General features: G+C 38.1%; 2 long non-coding RNA genes across 2 annotated transcripts in view; one reads left to right on the forward strand and one right to left on the reverse strand.

The window, feature by feature from the left end:
- Window positions 1-18,882, forward strand: part of LOC124902234 (uncharacterized) — an 85,285-nt gene extending 66,403 nt beyond the window's left edge. Inside the window, exon 3 of the long non-coding RNA XR_007061699.1 lies at window positions 18,822-18,882. This is a non-coding gene — a long non-coding RNA (uncharacterized LOC124902234). The remainder of the gene's footprint in view (window positions 1-18,821) is intronic.
- LOC101928438 (uncharacterized) overlaps window positions 1-23,895 on the reverse strand; it is a 234,104-nt gene that overhangs the window by 146,213 nt on the left and 63,996 nt on the right. The gene's annotated exons all lie outside the window — the stretch shown is intronic.

Genomic DNA, 23,895 nt, shown 5'->3' on the forward strand with positions numbered 1-23,895 from the left:
GTTGTACTCATTACTCTCTGCAGATGATACCTCTTTTTTACCCCCATCCTGTATACATGACCCCAATCCTACAGTCAAGCCCTGGTCTCCTACTGTGTTTTGACAAGAGACTAAAGAAAGATGGGACGCCTGTTTGGGCCAGGTTGACCCTGCTGGCAGCCAGAGTAATGACTAGTGAGATTTCCTTGGAAGAGCTGGATGGGTCAGAGTCACCCTCCTCACAGTACCCATTGGCACTTGGGAAGGCTGGGACTTGGTTTCAGGAAGGGAGCCCCTCAGGTTCATTCTAGCTACCTAAATTAAAATTTTCCATCATGCTCATCGTGTTTTAATCAATAATCTGAATCTCTACATTCAGTGACACTCACTAGAGAAAAGTTCTATAAGGAAAGGGGTTTACCCTCTTTCTTTGGGCCTCATTCTCATGACCCTGAAAAAGCGGGATTGAAATTTACAATATTTGGCAGACACTTGGAATTGGGATTGTTTTGTCCATCCATTTTCTCTGCAGGGAAAAATAAAAATCCTTTTTACACCTGAAGGCTTTCTGTTTCCCTGCCACTGTACCCTAGTAAAGCAGCATCTCCCTGGCAACTTGTGCCCAGAGTAAGAAGAGAATACACCCTGGCTGTCTGTGAGGAAAGGGGTCTCCAGACTTACTCCTTCCTCCTCCAAAATAGACGTTCTGGTATTACATTCTATCCCTAATGATGGGGATTTATTTAGCTACAATGTTATCATCTCCATTAAGCCGCATGGAAGAGACACTTCTCTGCTTTTATTTATAACCTGAAGGGATTATTTTTGAGTTAAGGCTTTAAGAATTCACATCTATCAGGAAAGAACAGCTTGTGTAATGAACTTCCTGTTTTCATCATATTTGGACACCGAGCCTCCTTGTTGCCTGTTATTATTACCCAGTTAATATGAACTGCCTGGAGTTTATTTTTAGCTGCGTTGACTCCATTGTAAGGACGGCATAACTGCTTTCAAAATGGGAAAATGTAATTACGGGATCTAACACTAAGTTGGGGATATTCTTAGGTCCCTTCACAAGGCAATGGCTTAAAAAATGAAAATAGACCACTTTAAATGGCTAAATAAAACACAGTTATTTGATCTAAAATAGCCCATTGATCCTTTTACAAACTAAACACTTACTTCAAAGAATAGAGTCCCATTTTTGTTTAAGTGACCTAAACATACGAATTTATTTCCAAGTTCAGAGTAGCGGGAGGAGAGTGGGGAGAACTGGTGGAGAATAGAGGCAGGAAGGGTATAAGCATTATTTACCAAAAGAGAGAAAGATTAGAATTGTGCTGAAAGTACCAAAACTCCTACAGGCATTTGAGGATTGGAGAATATAAATCTCAGTGCCTTCCTTGTGTGCCATTCCGCCGTGTGCACAAAGTGCCTAAGTCAGCTCTTTCATGGGAGTGAAGGCAGTCTAGTGTCCAGTGAGCTGCAAAGGATCACTCTTCATGTTTGCTGTAGCCGAGGCAGTCATTCATACAGGCCACCACCTCAATGTCCACCTCCTGCATTATTCATTCATTCATTCAACAAAAATTTATTGAGCACCCAAAACATGCCAGACTCTGGGAATGAAATGGCAAATAAGATATCATCTTTGTTCTAAGAGTGACAAGTATGGTAGAAAGAATTTCAGGGGGTTCTAGAATCACAGAAAAGGGGATACCTAACCCATCCTGGAAGGGACAGGGGACAGCTTCCTGGAGGAGGTGATGTCTCAAGTCAAGTCTGAGGTGCAAGCTGGGCTTACCCTTGTAAGTCAAGGAAGAAGCTGGGGCTGAGACCCAGATGTGAGAAAGATTGTGGCAAGATCAGGTAGCCTGAGAGTGTAAGAGGAGAATAGATAAAATAAAAATTGTAGTGGTAAGTAGGAGCTTTGGAAAGCATAGTAAAGACTTTTAGGTTTATTATAATCATGGGGACAAGTTACTATACATTTCTAAGAGTGACAATATTTCAGAAATATCACTGTAGTTCCATCGATGTATGAATGGATAAACAAAATGTGGTACATACATACAGTGGAATGTTATTCAGTCTTAAAATAGAAGGAAATTCTGACACATGCTCCAGCATGGATGAACCTTGATGATATTATGCTAAGCGAAATAAACCAGACATAAAAGGACAAATACTGTATGATTCCACTTACATGAGGTACCTATGGCAGTCAAATTCATAGAGGCAGAAAGTTGAATGGTGGTTGCCAGGGGCTAGGAGAGGGTAAAATAGGGGTTTATTATTTAATGGGTTCAGAGTTTCTGTTTGGGATGATGAAAAAAGTTCTAAAGATGGATGGTGGTGATGGTTGCAAAACAATGGGAATGTACTTAATGCTACCAAACTGTACACTTTAAAATTATATGTATGTATATTATTGCATGTACAAATTTATTTCCAAGTTCAGAGTAGCAGGAGGAGAGTGGGGAGAATTGGTGGAGAATAGAGGCAGGAAGGGTGTAAGCATTATTTACCAAAAGAGAGAAAGATTAGAATTGTGCTGGAAGTACCAAAACTCCTACAGGTGTTTGAGGGCTGGGGAATATAAATCTCAATGCCTTCCTTGTGCATCACTGTATTTTATATATGTATATATATATAATAAAATATAATATATTATAATATATATATAGGATTCATTTGGGTAGTAGCACAGGAAGACTTAGTAGCAATTAGAAGCCCGCTCTGTGGGAGAAGAAAATATTAGGATAAAGTCCAGATTTCTGACCAGAAACTAAGTGAATGGTGATGAAACCAATCACTAGGAAGAGTGAGTGAGTGAAAAAAAAAGTGCTCAATTTTCCATAGAATAATTTAGAAAGGAAATAAAATGATGTTCTTTCGATAAGGAACAAAGGTATCACCATACCCATGGAATAAGAAAGATATAAGTAGAATGTAGTTAGACCTACAACCAAAATTCACATTTGCTTTGTGACCCTTCCAAAGACAGCAAACATGACCTCAAACGGGATGAGTGAAGCTGAAGGTGGAGTAAGACTCAGAGACAGGGTGAAGGGTGGAGTGAGGCCCAGGTCCTGAGGATGGACTCCGGGTCAGGGAACAGCTGCAGCACATATTGTTTGGTAGTTTTTCAAGTGCTTTTACATTTGGACTAAGTCATTCATATGGCTGCATCAGTGGACCCATTAAAATGTTCTGCTTCCTCCCAAGTCACCGCCCATCCCTCCCCTGAATGTTCCCCCCTTGCCAGTCTTCCAAGCCTACTCACTATTTTCCTAAGACACTACACCCTTAGATGCCTCCATAATTTCTCATGCTTATGCCTCTGTCTTAAATGCCTTTCTCCTTCCTTCAGGGCCTGGAAAATTTAAACTTATTCTTCAAGATTCATTTATTTTGAGTCTGTAACCAACACCTTTTAACTGGTGTTGGATACCATGCAGGGACTGAGATGCATAAAACACAACCTCTGCCCTGGAAGAGTCTATGTCAAAGCAGAGAGGGCAGACAGTGCATTGATAATTATAATAAATAGAGTACTACTGTAATTAGAATCAGGTAGCAAGTGGTATGGGAAAACACTGAAGGAAAATAAACTGCCCAGCTGGGTCAAGGGTGAGGATCACAAAAAAAAAGCTTTAACAGTTCAAATGGCACTTGCCTTAGAAAGCCTTCCCAGCTTTCCCAAGAAATTAGCTGCTCTTTCGTCTCTGATCTCATGGAACTTTGTTTTGCCACTGTAAAGAATTTAGCACAGTGTTCTATGTTAGATATTCAACTGAACTTCTCAAGATCATAGTCCTTCATTGAAATTCTCAGTGTTTAGTCCATAGTATGTGTTCAATAAATGTTTGTTGGATGGATGGATGCATGGACCCATGGATGCATGGATGGATGGGCAGGAGGGTGGATGTATGGAGTCTGATTATTAATGTTTTAACTTAACACTTTCTGTGACAAGGAACTCATTGAACAATTTTCTGTGAAGTCTATAGACATGAATTAATGAGATTCTCTCACTATTGGAAGTACCCTCTGAAAGCAGAAAAAGTAACTATCTTGGATGTTGTCTGATTCTTTGAAGCCACTAACGTATCATTCAGACATTTAGCACTCTAAAATATATTATTAATACTCCAGTACCACAATATTTGACAAGTAGACTTTATACTTGTCAGGTAGACATTATACAGAAGCAGCATCAGCCATCGGCAAAGGTGTGATGTCGGTAAATTTTCTTCTCCTCCTCATTTAACAACCTCCCCAAATCCAGACCCTCAGAATTCCAAGGATTAAACTGGTTCTGCTATTTCAGCCACACTAAAGTGTTAAGCTGGGTACGAGTTTCTCATTCCAGTAGTGTTTATGCTTTAGAGAAGGAGGGATGCCTTGGAAACAAAATTATTCAACCAGCAAAGTATTTTTCTGAGTACTTGTTACACAAAAGTTTGTGCCAAGTGCTTCAGGGATTACAAAGAGGATAAAACATGTTCCAGTCCTCAAGGGGTTTATAGTCTAATTTAGGAGGAAGTCATAGACCGCGAAATCTTAAAATACAACACAAGAAAGAATATTCCTGATGATGTACTGGTACATGGAATGCTTCAGTCCCAAAGAAAAATACACAGAAACAAAAAGAATGAAACTTAGAGGCCTTCAAGTCTAACTTCCATCCAATTGTCTCTACAATATTCTCAGCAACTCTCTAGTCGAATACTTTCAGCAATAAGAAATCCACTATTTTAGAAGAGAATCTTCCCTGCTATAGGGGAAAATGAAAATTCTGTTTGTAAACATATATGTGTGTGCACACTATATATATTTTTTATACACATACATGCGCATTTCTAGATCTCTTACATTGACCTGAAACCTGGCTTCCTGTAACTTCTTTTAATCCCAGAGAAGTACAGGTGAAATTCACTAGCCTTTTCAGCATAAAAACAGATACATCTACCATAGGATTTCTCTTCTTCATGCTAAACATCTCCAGTTCCTTCAATGATTCTTTGTCCAATATAGTTTCCTGCCCTTGCTATCTCAGTCATCCTCTTTAAAATACATTTAATTTGTCAGTGACCCTTTTACAATATAGTACTACAAATATTATTCATATCTAACTATATTACTATTAATATATTATCTATACATTTAAAAGTAATTTATTTATAATATTAGTATTAAAAATGTAACATTAATTTTCAACTGATGTCTATATTATCAAACTACCTGCTAGATAACACCACTTAGACATCTCCAACTTAATCTGTTCAAAACCAAGCTCTTGATCTTCCTCTCATAGCCCTCCTCATCTAGTAAATGGTAACTCCACCTTTTGCTTTCTTTGAAGCTCTTGCTCAGACCAAAAACTTTCTTTCATATCTCCTGTCCTAACAATCAGGTATCCTACTGGCTCTACCTTCAAATTATATCCAGAATCTTACCACTTCTTCCCACCTTCGCCACTACCACCCATGCCCAGATGGCCATCACCTTTTGTCTGGATTATTAAAGTAGCCTCCTGCCTAGGTTTCCTGCTTCCACTCTTCCTCCATTCTCCTACCACACTCTACTCTCCACGAAGCAGCCAGAATGATGCTTTTAAAATGTAAGTCAGATAATATTACTCCTCTGCTCCAACTCTCTAATTATTCCCATCTCGTTTAGAAAGCCCTTTAAAAAGGCCTATGTGATCTGGCTACCTCCATGGCCTCCCACTACTCTGCTCTCATACTCTGTTCCTGCCACACCTGTCTCCTCACTTTCCTCAAACACACCAAGCACACACCTGCTTTGGGGTTTCTGCACAAACTGTTCCCTCCGCATGGAAACTCTTCCCGGAGAGACTCACATAGCTCCCTCCTTCCGATCTCTGCTCAGATGCCACCTGATCACACTGTTTAAAATAGCAAATTCCACCCCCACACCCAGTGCACCCTCTCTCCCCCTTACCTACCTGACTTTTCTCCATAGCACTGAACACCAACTGTCACACCATGTATTATTTATTTATTTATTATTGACTGTCTCCCCTACTAGACATAAATTCTGTAAGGGCAGAGAGTTCTGTCTGTTCTGTTTACTGATGTATGCTTCACACCCAAAGTGGTCCTTGGAAGATTGATTAGACTCACATATTGGATGACTGAGAGAATAAATGAGTGAACGAACAAATATGTTCCCAACTAGTGAACGAATCTGTTCTCAATATGTTTGTAGAGGTGAGATCTACAAAAACAATTCTATCAGTTGCTCACACTTTTCTTTCCACCTAACAAACCACCATAGTTTTACCTACCATCTTTCACTAATTTCTTCTTAGGATTTGGGCAAAGGGATTGGCTTAATTCAATTAGGAACCTTATGTCATGATTTCCTTAAATAGTGGAGCTGTCGATGCTATAATAAAACGGATCTCTTCAAGGCTTAAAAAAAGTCTATGAAGAACATTCTTATCTAATTTTGAATTTTAATGAATAGTTATAACGATGAGTAATTAATTTCGATATTTATAGAAAATGAAATGCATTTTTTTCCTTTAAGAAAATCTAGCACTTTAGGAACAACAAATTCTTGGAGAAAAAATTTTTGATGAGATCATTAAAGTTGGAAGCATTGTACCTACATAGCCATAACAAGCAAAGCAAATGAATGGGCACCAAATGGCATCTTTCTCCCCGTGCCCAACTCTTTCTGAGCATGTCAATTTCTCTGATATGTAAGAAACTGCCAGAGAAGAGTATCAGGGAGAGTTAAGCACAAGTTTCCCGGTAGCTAGGGCACAAAGAAAACCACACAGTATGTCTATGTTACAAGCAAAGAAAAGCTAATGTACTAAATCCAGAAGAAATTTATCATGTAATTTTTCATAATAGATTTTAGGTAATGTAAGGCACAACTTCCTCAGCAACGCTATTTGCAAAAAAATGCAAAATCATCGTTCCAGTGGAAAATTCCTGTATTGATTCTGATAAAGGCTCAAAGCATAATACTAAATTTCTAACTCAGTGAGAGCATTTTTATCAGGAACAGAGGTAATCCAGTCCAGATATGTTGCTTCCTGATACAATAACAAATTTCTTGAATAGAGATTAGAGAAGAGATATGGAAAGATGGCTTGTCCATTAAATTGTCTCTCTCCGATATTATATGTCTTAGGTGAGCCTTTGTCAAGCACATGGTTATGAGTCACTTCAGGATTGAATTCGCTGACAAGTGCCTGAAGTGCCAATAGTCTATGCTGTTGATTATCCATATGCTTTAAACACCAGATGTGCAGGAAGTGAAGCTGACATTCTGTTGTCAAATTTTTAAGAACCTGACTTGTATTCTTGCCATTCTATTTCTGCACACAGATAAGCTGCAGGGGTTCCTGCAGGTGATACAGTATTTCCTCCAAAATGGAATTTGAATCCACTCACATACTTAGACAAACGCTCTTTTGAGGATCCTGAATTTTTTACTATATTACAGAAGATGATTTGGTCTGAGACCTTTCTTAGGGAAGGTATACAGTCAACTTTTTCAATTATTTTTTAAAATAAAAACAACAAAACAAAACACCCTCAATCAGCCTGGGCAACATGGTGAGATGGATCTCTACAAAAAAAATTAAAAATTTAGCCAGGCATGGTGGTACATGCCTGTAGTCCCAGCTACATGGGAGGCTGAGGCAGGAGGAGCACTCAAGCCCAGGAGGTCGGGGCTGCAGTGAGCCATGATCAATGTACTCCAGCTGAGCAACAAAACGAGAACCTGTCTCAAAAAAAAAAAAAATCCACCCTGATTATGACCCCAGTTGAAGTAATACCTGGTATGCCTGTCAGAATGAGTTAGCTAGGGTGAAAAAAATGCTCCTATGGACCAGAATGAGTTGACTTCTTGGTTAAGGTTATCTGATATTATCAACTTAAATGTTGGAGAGCGTTTGCCAAAAGCAGCAATTTTAGCTCTGATACAGTTGATGCTAAGCTACTCTAACAATAATTAGTCAGCAGGTTCAGCTGCTCCTTTTATAGTATTGTTTATTACAAAACATTATAAAAACATTAGCAAAATTCAAAATAAAATAAATGAAAATCCACCCAAAATTCTGCCATCCTACAAACCAAACTGTTTACATTTTTTCATGCTCCCTTTCAGTCCCTGTCCATATGCAGACAGAATTTTTATAGTTGCAATCATAGCACAGATACAATTTTGTATTCAGGTTTGTCTCAATTAGAGTTTTTAAAGCATTTTTATAGTCTACTCCATCATCTTTGTTTCTACTACTAGGAATGCTTTACCCCATCATCCTTAGTGACCTTCCATGCAATCCAAACTGGTGAGGAAGGTTTATAAAGAATAATAATCAACATGACTAGAAAAAAAGGGTTATTTTTAAATTCCCTCTTTAAGGGACAGGGTCCCTAGATTTAAATTTGTGTGGAAAGGATTTCTCTTACCCTTTGTTCCCCTAACTGAAACCTTTATGAAAATAGTCAATTTCCCCACCATCAGGCATGTTTCTGTTATCTTAAAAAAGAGTTTTTGCAGGTATTTCCACTTTACCTGGTTTGTTTTGAAGACCTGCTTAGTATTTAGGACATAAGCATATAGAGACATCTTTTCCTCCATCTGCTATAAAAGATTTGTATAACTTGGAATTTACAAAGTGTGGATACTAGACACCGAATCCATATGATTGCGAAGTGGCATGCTCAGCTGTCAAAATGTTGGGTACCTGGATGCATCATTTTCCATTTTAGTTTGGACTTCTTTAGTCACTGGCTTCCACACTAGACTGCACAGCGGACTCATCTGGAGGGGAGCTGGTAAAAACACAGATCCCAGGACCCATCCTTGACCTTGTGAAGCAGAATCTCTGGGATTCATCTAGAGACTAATGTTTGGTAACCATTGTACATCACAAAATGTCAGAGATCTCTCTTTCTTGATAATACGTCTGATTTGTATGGGTTGTGGATTTTTACAGGGAGGGAAGGGAAAAGAACTGTAAGGATTGGAGAAGGGACAGTAACATGGAAGAAGCAAATGGCCTATATAAACTTTGTTGAAAATTTTTTGAGCTAGGTAGGTCTGAAACGTAAATCACCTGTACCAATAATCCTGGCAAGCCTCATGAAGTCAATAGGCTCAGATGTTTCGATGAGCCAACCAACCTAACCTCAATCCTCTATACACAACCCTGGAAACCCAAGGGGCCATGGCCACAAAGGAAGAGGATGTCTGATGGTGATAATGTTGGAGTAGTATGTATCAAAAAAAACCTTTTTAATCATAATGCTTTGACTCTTGAAAGCTTTCACTTTTAATTCTTATTAAAAGTGATGTTATTATAATGTTCTATATTTGGATTTTTACAAGCATGGATTCATGTATTAATTGGGTAATTTTTTTAAAAAAATTGAAGAGTGGGTTATACCCTTATGTGTATAAGGGTATTGCCATTTTGGGTCCGATAATTCTTTGTTGTATGGACTGTCCTGTGCACTGTAAGATGTTTAGCAGCATCCTTGGCCTCTGCTTACTAGATACTAATGGTATTCCCTTCGTCCAGTTATGACAAACAAAAAACAATTGCCATTTTGAAGTATCAGAAGTTTTTTTGTTTGGAGGTTTTGTCCTTTTGGTTGACGTAACTGGAAGAAGAGAATACCATTGGTATCTAGTGGGCAGAGGCCAAGGATGCTGCTAAACATCCTACAATGCACAGGACAGTCCACACAACAGAGAATTATCGGACCCAAAAGGGCAATAGCGCCAAGGTTGAGGCACCCCTTTGCAACATGAAACAATGAGCAGCAGATAGGAGCTAACCTGATGAACCTGGGAGGCTTGTAAAAGCCAGATCATGGGAGGCCTTGGATTTTATACCAAGAAGCTTGGACTTTTTTTTACTGTGGATGATGAAGAGCCATGGAAAGGAAATTACATGATAAAATTTGGGTTTTAAAGATACATTTTCACTCTGAAGGTACTCTGAAGGGTACATCAGAGGAGGCCATGATTGGAGGCAGAAAAAGCCCTTGGGATACTGTTACAAAGCCCAGAGAGAAATGTGAGGGCCTAAGCTAAAATAGCACAAGAAGAGATCAAGGGAGAGAACAAAGTCAATACATATTTAGGATGTAAAAGTCAGAAGATGTTGGGAATTGCCTGGCTATGGGAAGGGCAGGGAGGATTGTGAGATAACTCCCAGGTTTCTCTCTCAGATTATTGGATAGATGATGGTTGGAGTTACTGAATACAGGAAGAGATGCATGGAAAAAACATAATGTATCTAGATAACAGTGCACAAAGGTCTCAGCTATTCTTTGGGGGAGATAAGATAGGTAAAAGAATCCACTCATTCAACAAACATTTTAATAGCAATTGTCAGCAGGGAATTGTTTACACTTAAAGCTAGCGAGTTCCATTTGCAAGCAAACTATTAGATTGAGACTTCATCTTTCAATTTAAGAAGAAATTTGGTATTATTTTGAGCGGGGTATCTAAGAGCCTTAATGGTTCTATAATTTCAGGAGATGGAGGGTTTCCCTTTTTGAATCTGGAGTCAACCACACTTAGAATTCATCTTGAGAGAAATATACCTGTGGCATTAACTAAGGTAAATAGGTTGGCAAGGACTTCAGCCAACCACTCAAGCAAGATTAAAATAATTCTGGCAAGAGAGATTTTCTTCTGGAGCTCTTGTCAGTATTGAAAGATTGGATTTTTTGGGGGGGAAGTTGATGAAAATGTTGGGTTCCAGCTATGGAGACTACTGGAAACAACAAAATGCAGAGAGGTAAAGTAGAAATTGAGATAATTTGTTTAGTAATCAATCCATACATGTGTTTCTGAATTTCCATGTACTGAACTGATACAGATTTGGGGACAAGGAAGATAAGTCCCCAAATCTGCACTGTTAGTGTCCCTGCAGTGGAGCCCAAAACATACCAGGATCTTTTGATGTAATTTAATTTTTGGAAAGGATATGATGTTTTTAAACAATTACAACTTAATGAGACTTTAGATGACTTGAGCACAATTATATTTGAGGTAATAGCTTAATAATATGGCCTATAATTTTTTTAACTTATTTTTATTTTTTGATTTCTGATCTCTTTTATGAACAAGAAATAAAAGAGGTAGTTCTTGAATAGTCCCATGACATAATAGTGTAACCACAATTTGTTAATACTACAAATAGTTATTAGCAAGCCTTCCAAAGTAAACTATGTGCTATACGTTCCTCTTTTTTGACCCTTATCTTATTAGTAGGCTTAATACGCTCTTTGTATGTCATAAATATATTTGTTCATTTCACTTTAACCTTATCTCTAAAATCTCACTGATTGAGTAATGTATAGGGACAGACATAAGGGCCACTTTGAAAGTTCAGATTAAGTTTAAGGGGAAAATATTTACTTTCAACCAGTCTAAAATATCCAACTTAAAGATGTAGATAAGCTCCAAAGAACTAATTCTTCAATCATCAATAATGCTGCCTCTGGTTAGAAATGTAAGTGAAAGGCCACAGATTTATCCCACAGCCTGCCATTTACCATTATTGGACTATGATTATAAATGAGTTTGACCAGATATTTTCCTCTTTGCTTCAGACAGTTATTCCTGGAAAAGTGCCTTAAAAGGAAGAATCTGACAATTGCAGGTTTCTGATGGATGTAGCTCTGGTGGAACCGCTGCCAATCCAGGCATTCAAGTCCCCTGAAATTATGTCAGCTAATGAATACTTAGAAAACATAAAGTTCAGAAGGCTGTCAAATTATCGTACAATTTGAAGTATCAGTATGCATGTGGTAGGAAAAACGTATATGTTAAAGCCCAGATCAGCTTTGCCAAGAGCTGGATTCATCTATAAATTCTATAAAGTCTATAGATGTGATTTTTATTCACTCAGGAAGTGCCACCTATGTGCTGGCCAACATGTGAGAGGTTTTCACAATGTATTTCCATTAATCTATACATATAAACAGTCCTTTTAAATAGTCGTTGTGGTCTCTCCTTTAGAAAGGAAGAAGAACAGCAAGAGTCCAGAGTCATCTTTCTAATAATTGTTAGAGCCAGGATTTAATCCAGGTCTTCTGACAATAAATCTATCTTTTTGTCATTATACTGTTCTATCTCCTGCAACTCCAGTTTCAGGAAATCAAGCTTAGCAGGTCAACCTGAGTTCACTATTTTCCTTCTCAATTTAGCTCCTTCTATTGGAAACCTACGAGCCCTCTGTCTTCTCCCCTCATGACCAAGCAATTGTCAAATCCTATCAATCCTACCCTCAAAACCCTTGTCAGTGTGGTGTGTGGTCCAGTATCATTGGTACCACCTGCATCTTCTTATAAAGTCAGCATCTCAGGCCCTACCCAGACCTACTGAACCTGAATCTGCATTTTCACAAGATCCTTAGGTGATTTATGGGCACATTGAAGGTTGAAAAGCACATCTCTAGTCTAAGCCCTCTCTGTCCCTGCTGCCACAATTATTCATCAGGCTCCTTATGTCTCTGAACAGAAGTGTTTATTAATCCCCTAACTAGTCTGCCCCACTTTTATTCTCTCCTCAATCCTTCACCACCCAATTCCTATTCGTACAATTCCCATTTATAAACCACCAACAGATCAATTCCTCTAAAGAAAAGATTAAGCTACTCTCTGCAACCCCCAGCCCCATCCCACCACCCACCCCACCCCTCACACCCATCTCAAAACCCTCCACTGGCTCCTCAGTGCCTATGGAAAAAAAAAAATCATAATAGTTAAAAAGTACATACTTTGTGCCACATATTTTATAAGCACCTCATGTGAACTCATTTACTCCTCACATCAACCTTGTGAAATTAGTACCATTATTATCTTCATTTTATTTTTATTTTATTTTTTAGGAGACAGGGTCTTGCCTTCTTGCCCAGGCTGGAGTGCAGTGTCACGATCCCAGCTTACTGCAGCCTTGACTTCCTAAGCTCAAGCAATCCTCCCGCCTCAGCCTCTCAAGTAGCTGGGACTACAGGCATGTGCCACCACGCCTGGCTAATTTTTATATTTTTTGTAGAGATGGGGTTTCATCATGTTGCCAAACTGTTCTTGAATTCCTGGCTCAAGCGATCTTCCTGCCTCGTTCAGTCTCCCAAAGTACTGGGATTACAGGCATGAGCCACCTGCCCAGCCTCCATTTTAAAGATGAGAAAACTGAAACTGGGGGAGGTTAAATAAGTTGTCTAAGGTCCTTTAGGCAGTAAATGCTGGAACCAGGATTAAGTCTCCAGCAAACTCCTTGTGGGGGCAGGGTAGAGGAGGGGGCGTGAGGCTGATCTTCATATTTACATGAAAAAGGAAGAGGAGGTCTTAGTCAAAGCCCCCTACCCCACTTTTTGCCAGGAATTTTGCCAAGCAATTCCACTTGAGTATACCATTTTCATCTTACACCAAGCCTGCAGCAAGGTTTTGATGTTACCGCTCCCATTTTCACAGATGAAACTAAGAATTAGAGAAAATTGAACCAAAGTTCAGTTAACTTCAAGACAATATACTTTCTCCTATATAGCACTACTGTTCCCCCCACTTAGGAAGTGTCTGCTTCATCTCTGAATGCCCTAATTTTACTATCTTTTAAGACCAGTACAAGTCTTATGCACAAAATTTTACCTTTTCCTCCAATTTAGAAGTAATCTTTCCCACCTCTGAAATATTAATAGCTCTTACCCCCATTTTTCTTTTGGCATTACTTTATATTTTTATAGCTACTTTTACATATGTACACATATGTAGATGTATGAAAAATTTTGGAATACTAGATCCTACTTCCTCTCAGTAACAGTGGTTATTGTTCCTGAATTTTTAGAAAATTCTAGAAAATTATTCTAGAAAGAAAAGTAAAATTAGAGCCATGATATTAAGAAAATGTAGTATGAACTCATGAACAGGAAAAAATTATAAGTGTAATTGAGAGTTGAAGAAAGAATTATCCTTGATAAGAATGAATTTGAGAAACAATAAAAATTAACATTTACTATCTAAATGTTTCCCATAAAATCAAGCAAAACCCTGTTATGGGTTGATTTCCATGCAAAATGTTTTCTGAGTTTTCTACTAGCTCATCAGTTATTTTCTGTCACTTTATTTACATATTTCATTCTATTTTATTTTTCCTGACAACCATTATCTGTTATAAACATTCCTTTTAGATGGCTCCATTCTGATAATAGTTCCAAAATTACCTTGATGTAAGTCCAGCCTTTTCTTACTACCTGGCATATACCATCCCCACAAATAGCCCACTTTATATTAAATGGAAAATACAGGGAGAGAAGAAGACTTGGCTTAAATATCTTTTTGAGGACTCCTATTGTGATAATTTCTGTAACATTAATAACTTTCTGGCAAATGTGTTTAGATGTGTAACAGCAGCATTATTTCTCCAAGGCCTACGTTTACATATTATATTATCCACCAAATAATAAAATGTATACTTTTTGCTCTTCATCATCTATGAATTACTACTGATCCCAGTAAAGAGCTTTATATTCTATAACTGAAAACAATCTTATAACTCAATAAATATTGTCTTATTGGCAGCAACCAAAAAAGCTTTCATTTCCTCTTTCACTGATGCTGACTCCCACATCTAAATAAAGGTCAGATTATTCCAGTAATTCTTTTCTTTTTTAAATGTGCTTCAAAAAAAGCAGAGTTCTGGAGTATATTTCCAAAAGCATTTTAAGATTCACTTGAAGAGGGGGATAGAGGATGCAGCTTTCAACCTGAATCCTTTCTAGGTAGAGCATCTCACACTGGTTTCCATGGAATTCCCTTTAGGACAAACTATAAGATCTTTATTTTAAGTCAAAGGAATACCCAAAAAGCCAAAACCAAACTTTAGATATATTACAGGGTTTTCTTGTTTGTTTGTTTTCTATTCTGTTCCAAAGAGAATTGGAATTACGTAGAAGTATACATGCAGCCTTGTATACTTGGAGTTTATATAATTTAACAATACTAGAATATACGTCTCATGAGGGGAAGCACCTTCACTGTTTTGTTCACTGTAGATTTTCTAGCACCTGGCACAGTCTCTAGCATATAATCTGTGCCTAATAAATTCTTGCTGAATAAATAAATAAACTCCCCTAATTTCACAGATGCAAAAACTGGAAGCCAAAGCAGTTGAATTGTCAGAGGTGTGTAAACCGGCACAACTCCATCTTGAATAGGAGCAGGGTAAAATAAGGCTGAGACCTACTGGGCTGCATTCTCAGATGGTTAAGGCATTCTAAGTCACAGGATGAGATAGGAGGTCAGCACAAGACACAGGTCATAAAGACCTTACTGTTGAAACAGGTTGCAGTAAAGAAGCCGGCCAAAAGACACCAAAACCAATATGGCCACATATGTACACACAGGTACACGTATGAATACTGGTCGTCCTCACTGTTACACTCTCACCAGCGCCATGACAGTTTACAAATGCCACAGCAATGTCAGAAAGTTACCCTATATGATCTAAAAAGGGGAGGCATGAATAATCCGCCCCTTGTTTAGCATATCATCAAGAAACAACCAGAAAAATGGGCAACCAGCAGCACTTGGGGCTGTTCTCTCTATGGAGTAGCCATTCTTTTATTCTTTTACTTTCCTAATAAACTTGCTTTCACTTTACTCTATGGACTCGCCCTGAATTCTTTCTTGAGTGAGATCCAAGAACCCTCTCTGGGGGTCTGGATCGGGACCCCTTTCCTGTAACAGAATGAGCTAACCAAAGCCATGCAGTGACTTTGTAGCCATCCTGGCACTAGAACTTCAGTCTACTATCTCTTACTTGGTGTCATTTCTGCTGATTTCAACATAAGCAAATGCAGGTGTTGGGGTGGGAAGAGAAGTGAATGAAAAGGGAAAATGAGATAGAAACCTGGAGACTGTTTTCAAACAACCCATCAGAAATCACGCAACGAAAAATGAAGTTATATATAAGATTGAGAAGGGAGTACTTCAGAAAAAAATTTTTTAAGTAAAAACTCTTCCAAGAATAAACAAAAACTTCACCTGTTTGATGTCCAAAACAACAATTACAGGATTAAAAAAAATCAGTTTTTAATAATAGAAAATTAGCCCGTATAAGGAAAACAATGAGGTCCACAAAACATAGCAGTTTAGTCATAAATTGAAAACTAGACCAAATGTCATTTGAGAAATACTTTGAAAAGGACCCCAAAAGCAATAAATCACTTTTTATAACATATTTTTTAAAAACAAAGTGGGCCGAATAATCTGAATAACAATTAAATGATAAGGATCTACAAGAGGTATGCTCAGGGAGATCTGATAGCAAATTGGGTAAATTAACCATTTCTCTTGGTCTTCATGGGGAAAAAAATTACTACAGGGGAGATTCATGCATCATGAGTTTCTTTTGAAACATACAAGTCAGGCCTTCTATATTAAGCAATGGTAAATGCCCATGAGTAAGCAGGAAAGAGGCAAAGAGGTTTTAATGTGTGTAAAGCACATATTTATGCAATTGAGGGAAAAAAATATCCTCAAGTTCATATTAAGACACTGTGTCAATGCAGGGAAAGGACATGGATATTTCTTGGAGGACACTGCCTCAACATACTACAGCCAAAAAAAAAATCAATTAAAATGCTACTAAGCAGATTCAAGTAGAATATTGAAAAACAGGCAGAAATATTGCCCACTTCTATTTAAAACTGTAGTTGATCCATGCTGGAAGAAAACATACATTTCTGACTACTGATGTTAAGAATAATATAATAGAACCTGACTAGAAACGGAAAAAAAAAAAAAAAGGAAGGCCTAAAATAGCCAAGGAGATTATGGAACTCAAGACACAGTTTATGTGCTTGAGAGCTGTACTTAAGCTAGAAGTTACACAATCCCTTTAGGCAGCATATCTCAGTATGTGAAGATGGCTGCCATTTTACTAAGCACTTAATCATGGACCAAGCATTGTGCTAATCACTTTATATTCATTATCTCATTTAAACTTCAAAATAATGTGAGGATGTAGGTATTATTATCACCCCTTTACAGATAAAGACACTGAGGTTGTAGATAGGTTAAGTAATTTGTCCTATTTCGCAAAGCAACTAAAAGCCTGAATATGACTTAATGCTAACCAAACTTCCAGGTAAAGATTTTACACAACATGTTACACTGCCTTCCCCACCCTCACTCCTACCCATTAATTGGACTTTTTGCTTCCCCACCATCCCTTGAGTGAGGCTAAACTGGTTTGCCTGCATCTTACCATGATATAACAAATTAAACAACTATAATTCTAAATATGTGCAAAAGGGACCATGTTTTATTCAACTTTGTGTCCCCAAAGCCTAGCCATTCCCTAGCACAAGGTAAATGTTCAAACGTTCAATAGACATGAATTGAATAAATACAATGCATACTGTACAACACAGTAAACTTCTGACAAGAAACACAGTTGCTTATGGCCGGATACATGGAGCCTGTATTTTAAAAATTGAATTTCAAGGACTACAACAGACAAAGGTTAGACTTTTCTACAATCAACACATTTCCTGTGACATAAAGGAATGGACGGTGTAGTACTAGTAGGTATAGAACAGGATCAGTGGATCACAGAAAACCAGTGCATTAAGGAGGGTTGCACGTGACAAACAATGGTGATGAACTCTGGCTAATTACTGAGAAAAATGAATTCATTGAAAGCTACTGGATAATTCACAGAATCAACACACAGGCTGAAGAACCAGGCTCAAAATATAAGCAGGAAAATACCGGTAACCAGAACCCCTGCAAAGGCCACATGCCAGGAATGCATGGTTAGGTGCTGAGCTGTCACCACTGAACTTTGGGTGACACCCCTGACACTGCCACCACCTGCGACTTGGGGAACCCTGCTAAAACTGCTGACACAACCACCTGTGGATGCTGGATGCCACAGCTACCACCATCACCTTAAGAAAGTCTGAACCGTCCCTGCTTCTTTAGGTTAACTCCCAGAGGATTCAAATTCTTGGGCAGGAGAATCTATGGCTGACGTTAGCAAACCCAAACTTAAGCTGTGAGGGAGAACAAATGCCTGATTTTTTTGCTCTGTAATGAGGTGGGTCCTGCTTCTCCCCAAGATGCACCCAAGATTCCCCAGACATAGAATGTGAATGCAAGGCCGGGCGCGGTGGCTCACGCCTGTAATCCCAGCACTTTGGGAGGCCGAGGCGGGCGGATCACGAGGTCAGGAGATTAAGACCATCCTGGCTAACACGGTGAAAACCCGTCTCTAAAAAAAAATACAAAAATTAGCCAGGCATGGTGGTGGGCGCCTGTAGTCCCAGCTACATGGGAGGCTGAGGCAGGAGAATGTCGTTAACCTGAGAGGCAGAGCTTGCAGTGAGCCGAGATCGCACCACTGCACTCCAGCCTGGGCAACAGAGCAAGACTCCGTCTCAAAAAAAGAAAGTGAATGCTGATGCTAGGGGATCACAAGAGAAAGATATGTATTTATTACAAAATCATGATCTAAGAAAAGGATCTAGAACTAGATTAGGATTGGCCTCCCAGCTAAGGAAGTTTCCAAAAATCTAGTATGGGAAGCTACACCTCCAGGCTTACTCCGTGTAGCGGGAGGGATGCATTACTGGAAAAGGTAGGATCACCGAATCAGCACTGTAGAGGGAGATTACCACGGGAGTCCCAGGAAGGGGATTTCCTACATTGTAAATTGGCGATTATAGTTTCATTCCCTTCAGAGGCCCTGAAGTTATGACATGCCTATGGACATAATTTCTTATCACACAACTAAGATGTTTGTCAATTACTTCCTCCCAGGCTGCAATAATTGATGCATCAGATGCCCTTCATAACAGTGATGAGGATGGAGCCAGGCGCCATGGCCTGTAAGCCCAGCACCTTGGGAAGCCAAGGTAGGAGGATCGCTTGAGCTCAGGATTTCAAGCTAGTAAGTCTTTGTCTCTACAAAAAAAAAAAAATTAATTAATTTAATTAGCTAATTAGCCGTGCATGGTGGTGCATGCCTGTAATCCCAGCTACTTGGGAGGCTGAGGCAGGACGACTGTTTGAGCCCAACGAGTCAAGACTGAAGTGGGCTGTGATTGTGCCACTGCACTCCAGGCTGAGCAATAGCGTGAGACCCTGTCTCAAAAAAAAAAAAAAAAAAAAAAAAAAAGATGATGACGGTACATGTACTGAGTTCTTACTAAGTATCAGGAGTTGTGCTACGGGCTTTATATGTACTAAATTATTTTATTCTCACAATAACCCTATGAAGTAGATACTATGATCATACTCATTTTATGGATGAGGAAAGTGAGGCAAAGAGGTTACTTAACTTGCCGAAGGACACACAACAGTGCCCAGACTGGAACCAGACAGTCTGCCTGCAGAACCATACTCTCCACTGCCTCTCTTTTGAGAGGATTTCCAACAAGCCTTAATGGGCTGATGGCTTTATTTTTTCATTTATTTCCTTGATCAGATCACCCACTACAGAAAATTAGCATTTTACACATCCAGCCTAGTACATCTGTGGCTCCTCCAGCACTCCCACGTGCACACCTTTATCAGCCCTTATATGGATCAAACCAGAGAAATGGGTGGCAAGACCCATTCGCCACCTCTGGCTGCCTAAGCATTTGATAGATCTCAATCTGTTGCACTTACTGACGGACCCTGCAAAGTCTCTATATTACCATTGTCCTCAGCACTGTAATGTATGTTCATGCATATGTATTTTTGACATAAAAACATTTCTGAGATAATCATCACTATATCAAATCAGCACTGTTTGAGGCAGCCCTAAATGAGGTGTACCTACATATTATTTGTAATTTATCATGTGGTGGTCATATAGTTATGTTTAAGCTGGTTGTTTAATGAAATGCATTCAGTAATATATAATCAGTTCTCATTATACTTAATTTTGCTATTTTTAAAATATTTTATTATGAAAATTTTCAAACATAGAGGAAAAGTTGAAAGAACTCTACAGTGAACATCCATACACCAACCACGTGGATTTTTGCAATTAACATTTTGCCATATTTGCTTTTATCATGTATCTGTCCATCTATTTGTCCTTCTATCCATCCATCAATCCATCTTATTTTCTAACGCATTTCAAAGTAACTTGCAATACCAGAATATTTCTCTCCAAATGCCTTGACATGCATATCATTAACTAGAGTTTAACATTTGTTTATAGTTCCTTTTTAAGGCAAAATATACATTCAGTGAAAAGCAAAAATATGAAATGCAATAGTTGATGAGTCTGACAAATGCATATCTGTATGACCCAACCTCTATCAAGTTATAGAACATTACTATCATCCCAGAAAGTTCCTTTGTGTTCCTTCCCAGCTGATCCCAGCCCACACTACCACACAGACAACCACCGTTCTGATTATTTTCACCATAGATTAGCTTTGCTTGTTCTAGAACTTCATATAAGTAGAATCATAAAATGTTTACTCTTTTGTACACTTTTTTCACCCACTATAGCTTTTGAGTTTGGGGTTTGTTTTTGTGTTTTTTTTTTTCATGTTGTTGCATGTTTGAGTGATTTGTTATTTTTGTTGCTAGGTAGTATTTGTTATTTGAATATCCCATACTTGTTTTATTCATGCTCTGATAGATGGACATCTGGGCTGTTTCCAGTATTTATTTATTATGAATAAAGCTGTTATGAACATTTTGCACAAGTGTTTTTTCTGTGGACATATTTTTCATTTATCTTGGGTAAATACGTAGGAGTGGAATTTCTGGATCATAAATAAGTCGTATGCCTAACTATGTAAGAACTTTCCGACCATTTTCCAGAGTGGCTAAATCATTTTACACATGCACCAACAATGACTAAGTGTGCTGGTTGCTCCACATCCTATCCAACATTAGGTAATACCAGACTTTTAAATTTTACCCATTCTATCGGATATTAAATGTTAGCCCATGTGGTTTTAACTTGCATTCCTGTGATGACTGATGAGGTTGAGCACATTTTCATGTCCTTATTATTGGCCATTCATATATCTTCCTTTGTGAAATGTCTGTTCAAATCTTTTACTCATATTTTAGGTGTTTTTCCTTTTTATTATCATAATATCTTTTATAAGATCTAAGTGAAAGAATGCTTTCAAGTCCATAATGCAAAATACATGAACTGGGCTGCCCCAGGTCACATTTTGTCTTTATATTAGTACCTATATTAATAAAAATTTTAATTTCTCATTAAAGAAATTCATACCCAATTTTTCACTGAACTCTTTTTTAAGACAAATATATTTAAGCCTCCTCCTTGTGATGAACCTGTATATACAGTGGGTATATATAGATATTGAACTCCTAGGCAAATGTTAAACTCCCTGGTCTATGTACACATTTCTATAAGAATATATATCTATATATTTCTACATGTATAGATAGATATATCACTTCCTCCCATCCTACATCTGTGATTATAATATTCTGATGATCTATTGTGTTTTCTAGGATCTCTGAAGTTCAGAGTTAAAATTCCATATCTTTCCATTTTTTTACAGACAAGATCCTGATCTCATCTTCTAAAGAACAAGTCTTGACTGACCTTATATGTGAATTAGTTCTCCTGACTAATCTTCTAGGTATTTGTAAACCACCTCGCTTGTTCCACCTGACTTCCTAATGAAATTGCTCACTTTGGATACTTGGTATATAGCTCAGCAAAAGTGTTGTCAATGCAAACCCTTAATATTATAAGGACATGAATAAAATAATATTAATAATATGCACAGAAGAGGTTATACAGAAGAAGAGATGAGTAAAGTAGAATGGTTGGGATTCTTTAAGTTGCAAGGTAACAGAAACCCAGATGGAATTAGATTAGTCAAAAAGGGAAATGTATTAGTTTGAGTGCTATAAGAAGGGCAAGGCTACAACTGGACCTCAAGACAGAGACTTGAATATAAGCAACTTCACAACCAGAAACCTGAATTCCACCAGAACTTCCCTGTCTCATCATTGCTTTTCTCTGCAAGTTTATTTTATTCTTTTAAATTAGGTGCAAGCAGATGATGAAGAAAATGGCTGCCTAGAGCTACCATTACCTCCAAAGAAGAACAGATCATTCTTTCACTGGTTCCTAGTTCAAAAATCCAAATGATGAGTTCTGACTACCTTTTAGCCATCAACTGGAACCAGGTGTAATGTCTGTGGAAACATGGCAGCTCACATTCAAACCAACTGACAGGAGTGCTAGAAGGAGCATTTCCCAGAAGGAGTGGAAGAAGAGTGAAACCCGTGAAGCAGACAACATAATGGAGATTCGCTACAGATAGTATAACCAGAGCCCCAAAATGATTCAGGCAGATGAAGGAGAATGAAGCTACAAAGATAGAGAAGGATTGAGGGAAAAGCTTAATGTGGGAGGATAAGAGCAAAAGCCTATTTCTGTGGAGACAGAACTCTCTCTGTCGCCTTCTTTAGATAAGATATTTTAATAAACATGTAATAATAGTCCTAAAATGTCCTATCTCCTCACTCCCCACACCTAACAGAAATACTCAGTGTAACACAGGGAAAATCCTAACCCCCCTTCATTCAGCCATCTCCAGTCCATTTTTCTGCCGTTTCTCCTCAACTAATATGCCAAAATACCACATAAGATTTTATGTAGCCCAACAAGCCCAACCTTCCACTTTCTGACATAATTATAAGTAAACAAACAAAAACAAAGGAAGCCAGTCACAACTTTAAGACACATTATTTGCTTAAAACAAAGATAACCACCTTTGAGGTGGATTGAATTTGTTTTTCAACAACACCGATGTATCCTAAATGATTTGGAGAAAAAAATGCAGAAATAGTTGAACCAAACAGAAATTATAATTAGGCTGACAGTTGGCTAAAACAATAACCCCACTCTAAGTGACTAGGTTAATTTTTTAACCAAAATAAATATATTTATGTGCTGAATCCAATAATGATTTAATATTTGATTTTTTAACGCGGTATTTCTACTGTGTGGTACATCCTCAGTAGATGCTTGTCAAATAAGTGATGCAGGGTCCATGGAAACAGAAAGAAAGAAAAACATACCTCTTCCTTTAGGAAGGAGGTCAAGAAAAGCTTCGTGAGTTCATTAAAGGAACAAGGTGGGTAAAGAAATTGTAGATAACTAAAGACCATGTGCAAAAACATTGGCCTGAACAAGCCAGGAAATGCCAATTAGCTCACTATAATAAGAATAGAGAGGACAAATGGGACAGAGTGGTGAGAGATGCAGTAAGAAAAATCAGCAGAGGTCAAATCATAAAAGGTTTTATAAGTCATGTTAACAAATTAATTCTTCATTCTAAAAATGATGAGGAGCCTCTAAAGATGTTTAAGCTGAGAGCAGGTGAGAGAGAGGAAAAAATAATATTTGCCAGTTTTCACATTTTATAAAAATCATGTCAGATGTTGAATTTTGATTTTGAGTCATGAGAAAACAAATGGAAGAGTTCTAAGCCAGAAGTTCAGGAGAGTAATTATAGGTGAGTATTATATTAATTTATGAGTTAAATGATGAAAGGCCTAAATTGAGAGATTATAAAGTATTTTGTCAGAATAAATGATAGCATTTGAATCTTGGAAATAAGGGAGATGAAGAGACTAGAAGTTCCCGGCTTCTATTCTGGGAACTAGACTATGTTGGTGCCACTATCCAAGATCAAGAACAGGGAAGGAGAAAGTTTATAAGGGGACAGCAATTAGCTCAATTTAGGACATAGTATGTTCCCTGGGATACATCCAGGTGAGCCATGGGCCCAGGAGGCAGTTGGAATTGTGTGTCTATCATTTGAGAGAAAGAACTGAGTTAGAGAAAAAGATTTGGAACTACAAGCAGAAAGGTGGTAATTGAAGCTATGAA

Source organism: Homo sapiens, chromosome 9 (assembly GCF_000001405.40).
Source record: "Homo sapiens chromosome 9, GRCh38.p14 Primary Assembly".
Lineage (NCBI taxonomy): Eukaryota > Metazoa > Chordata > Mammalia > Primates > Hominidae > Homo > Homo sapiens.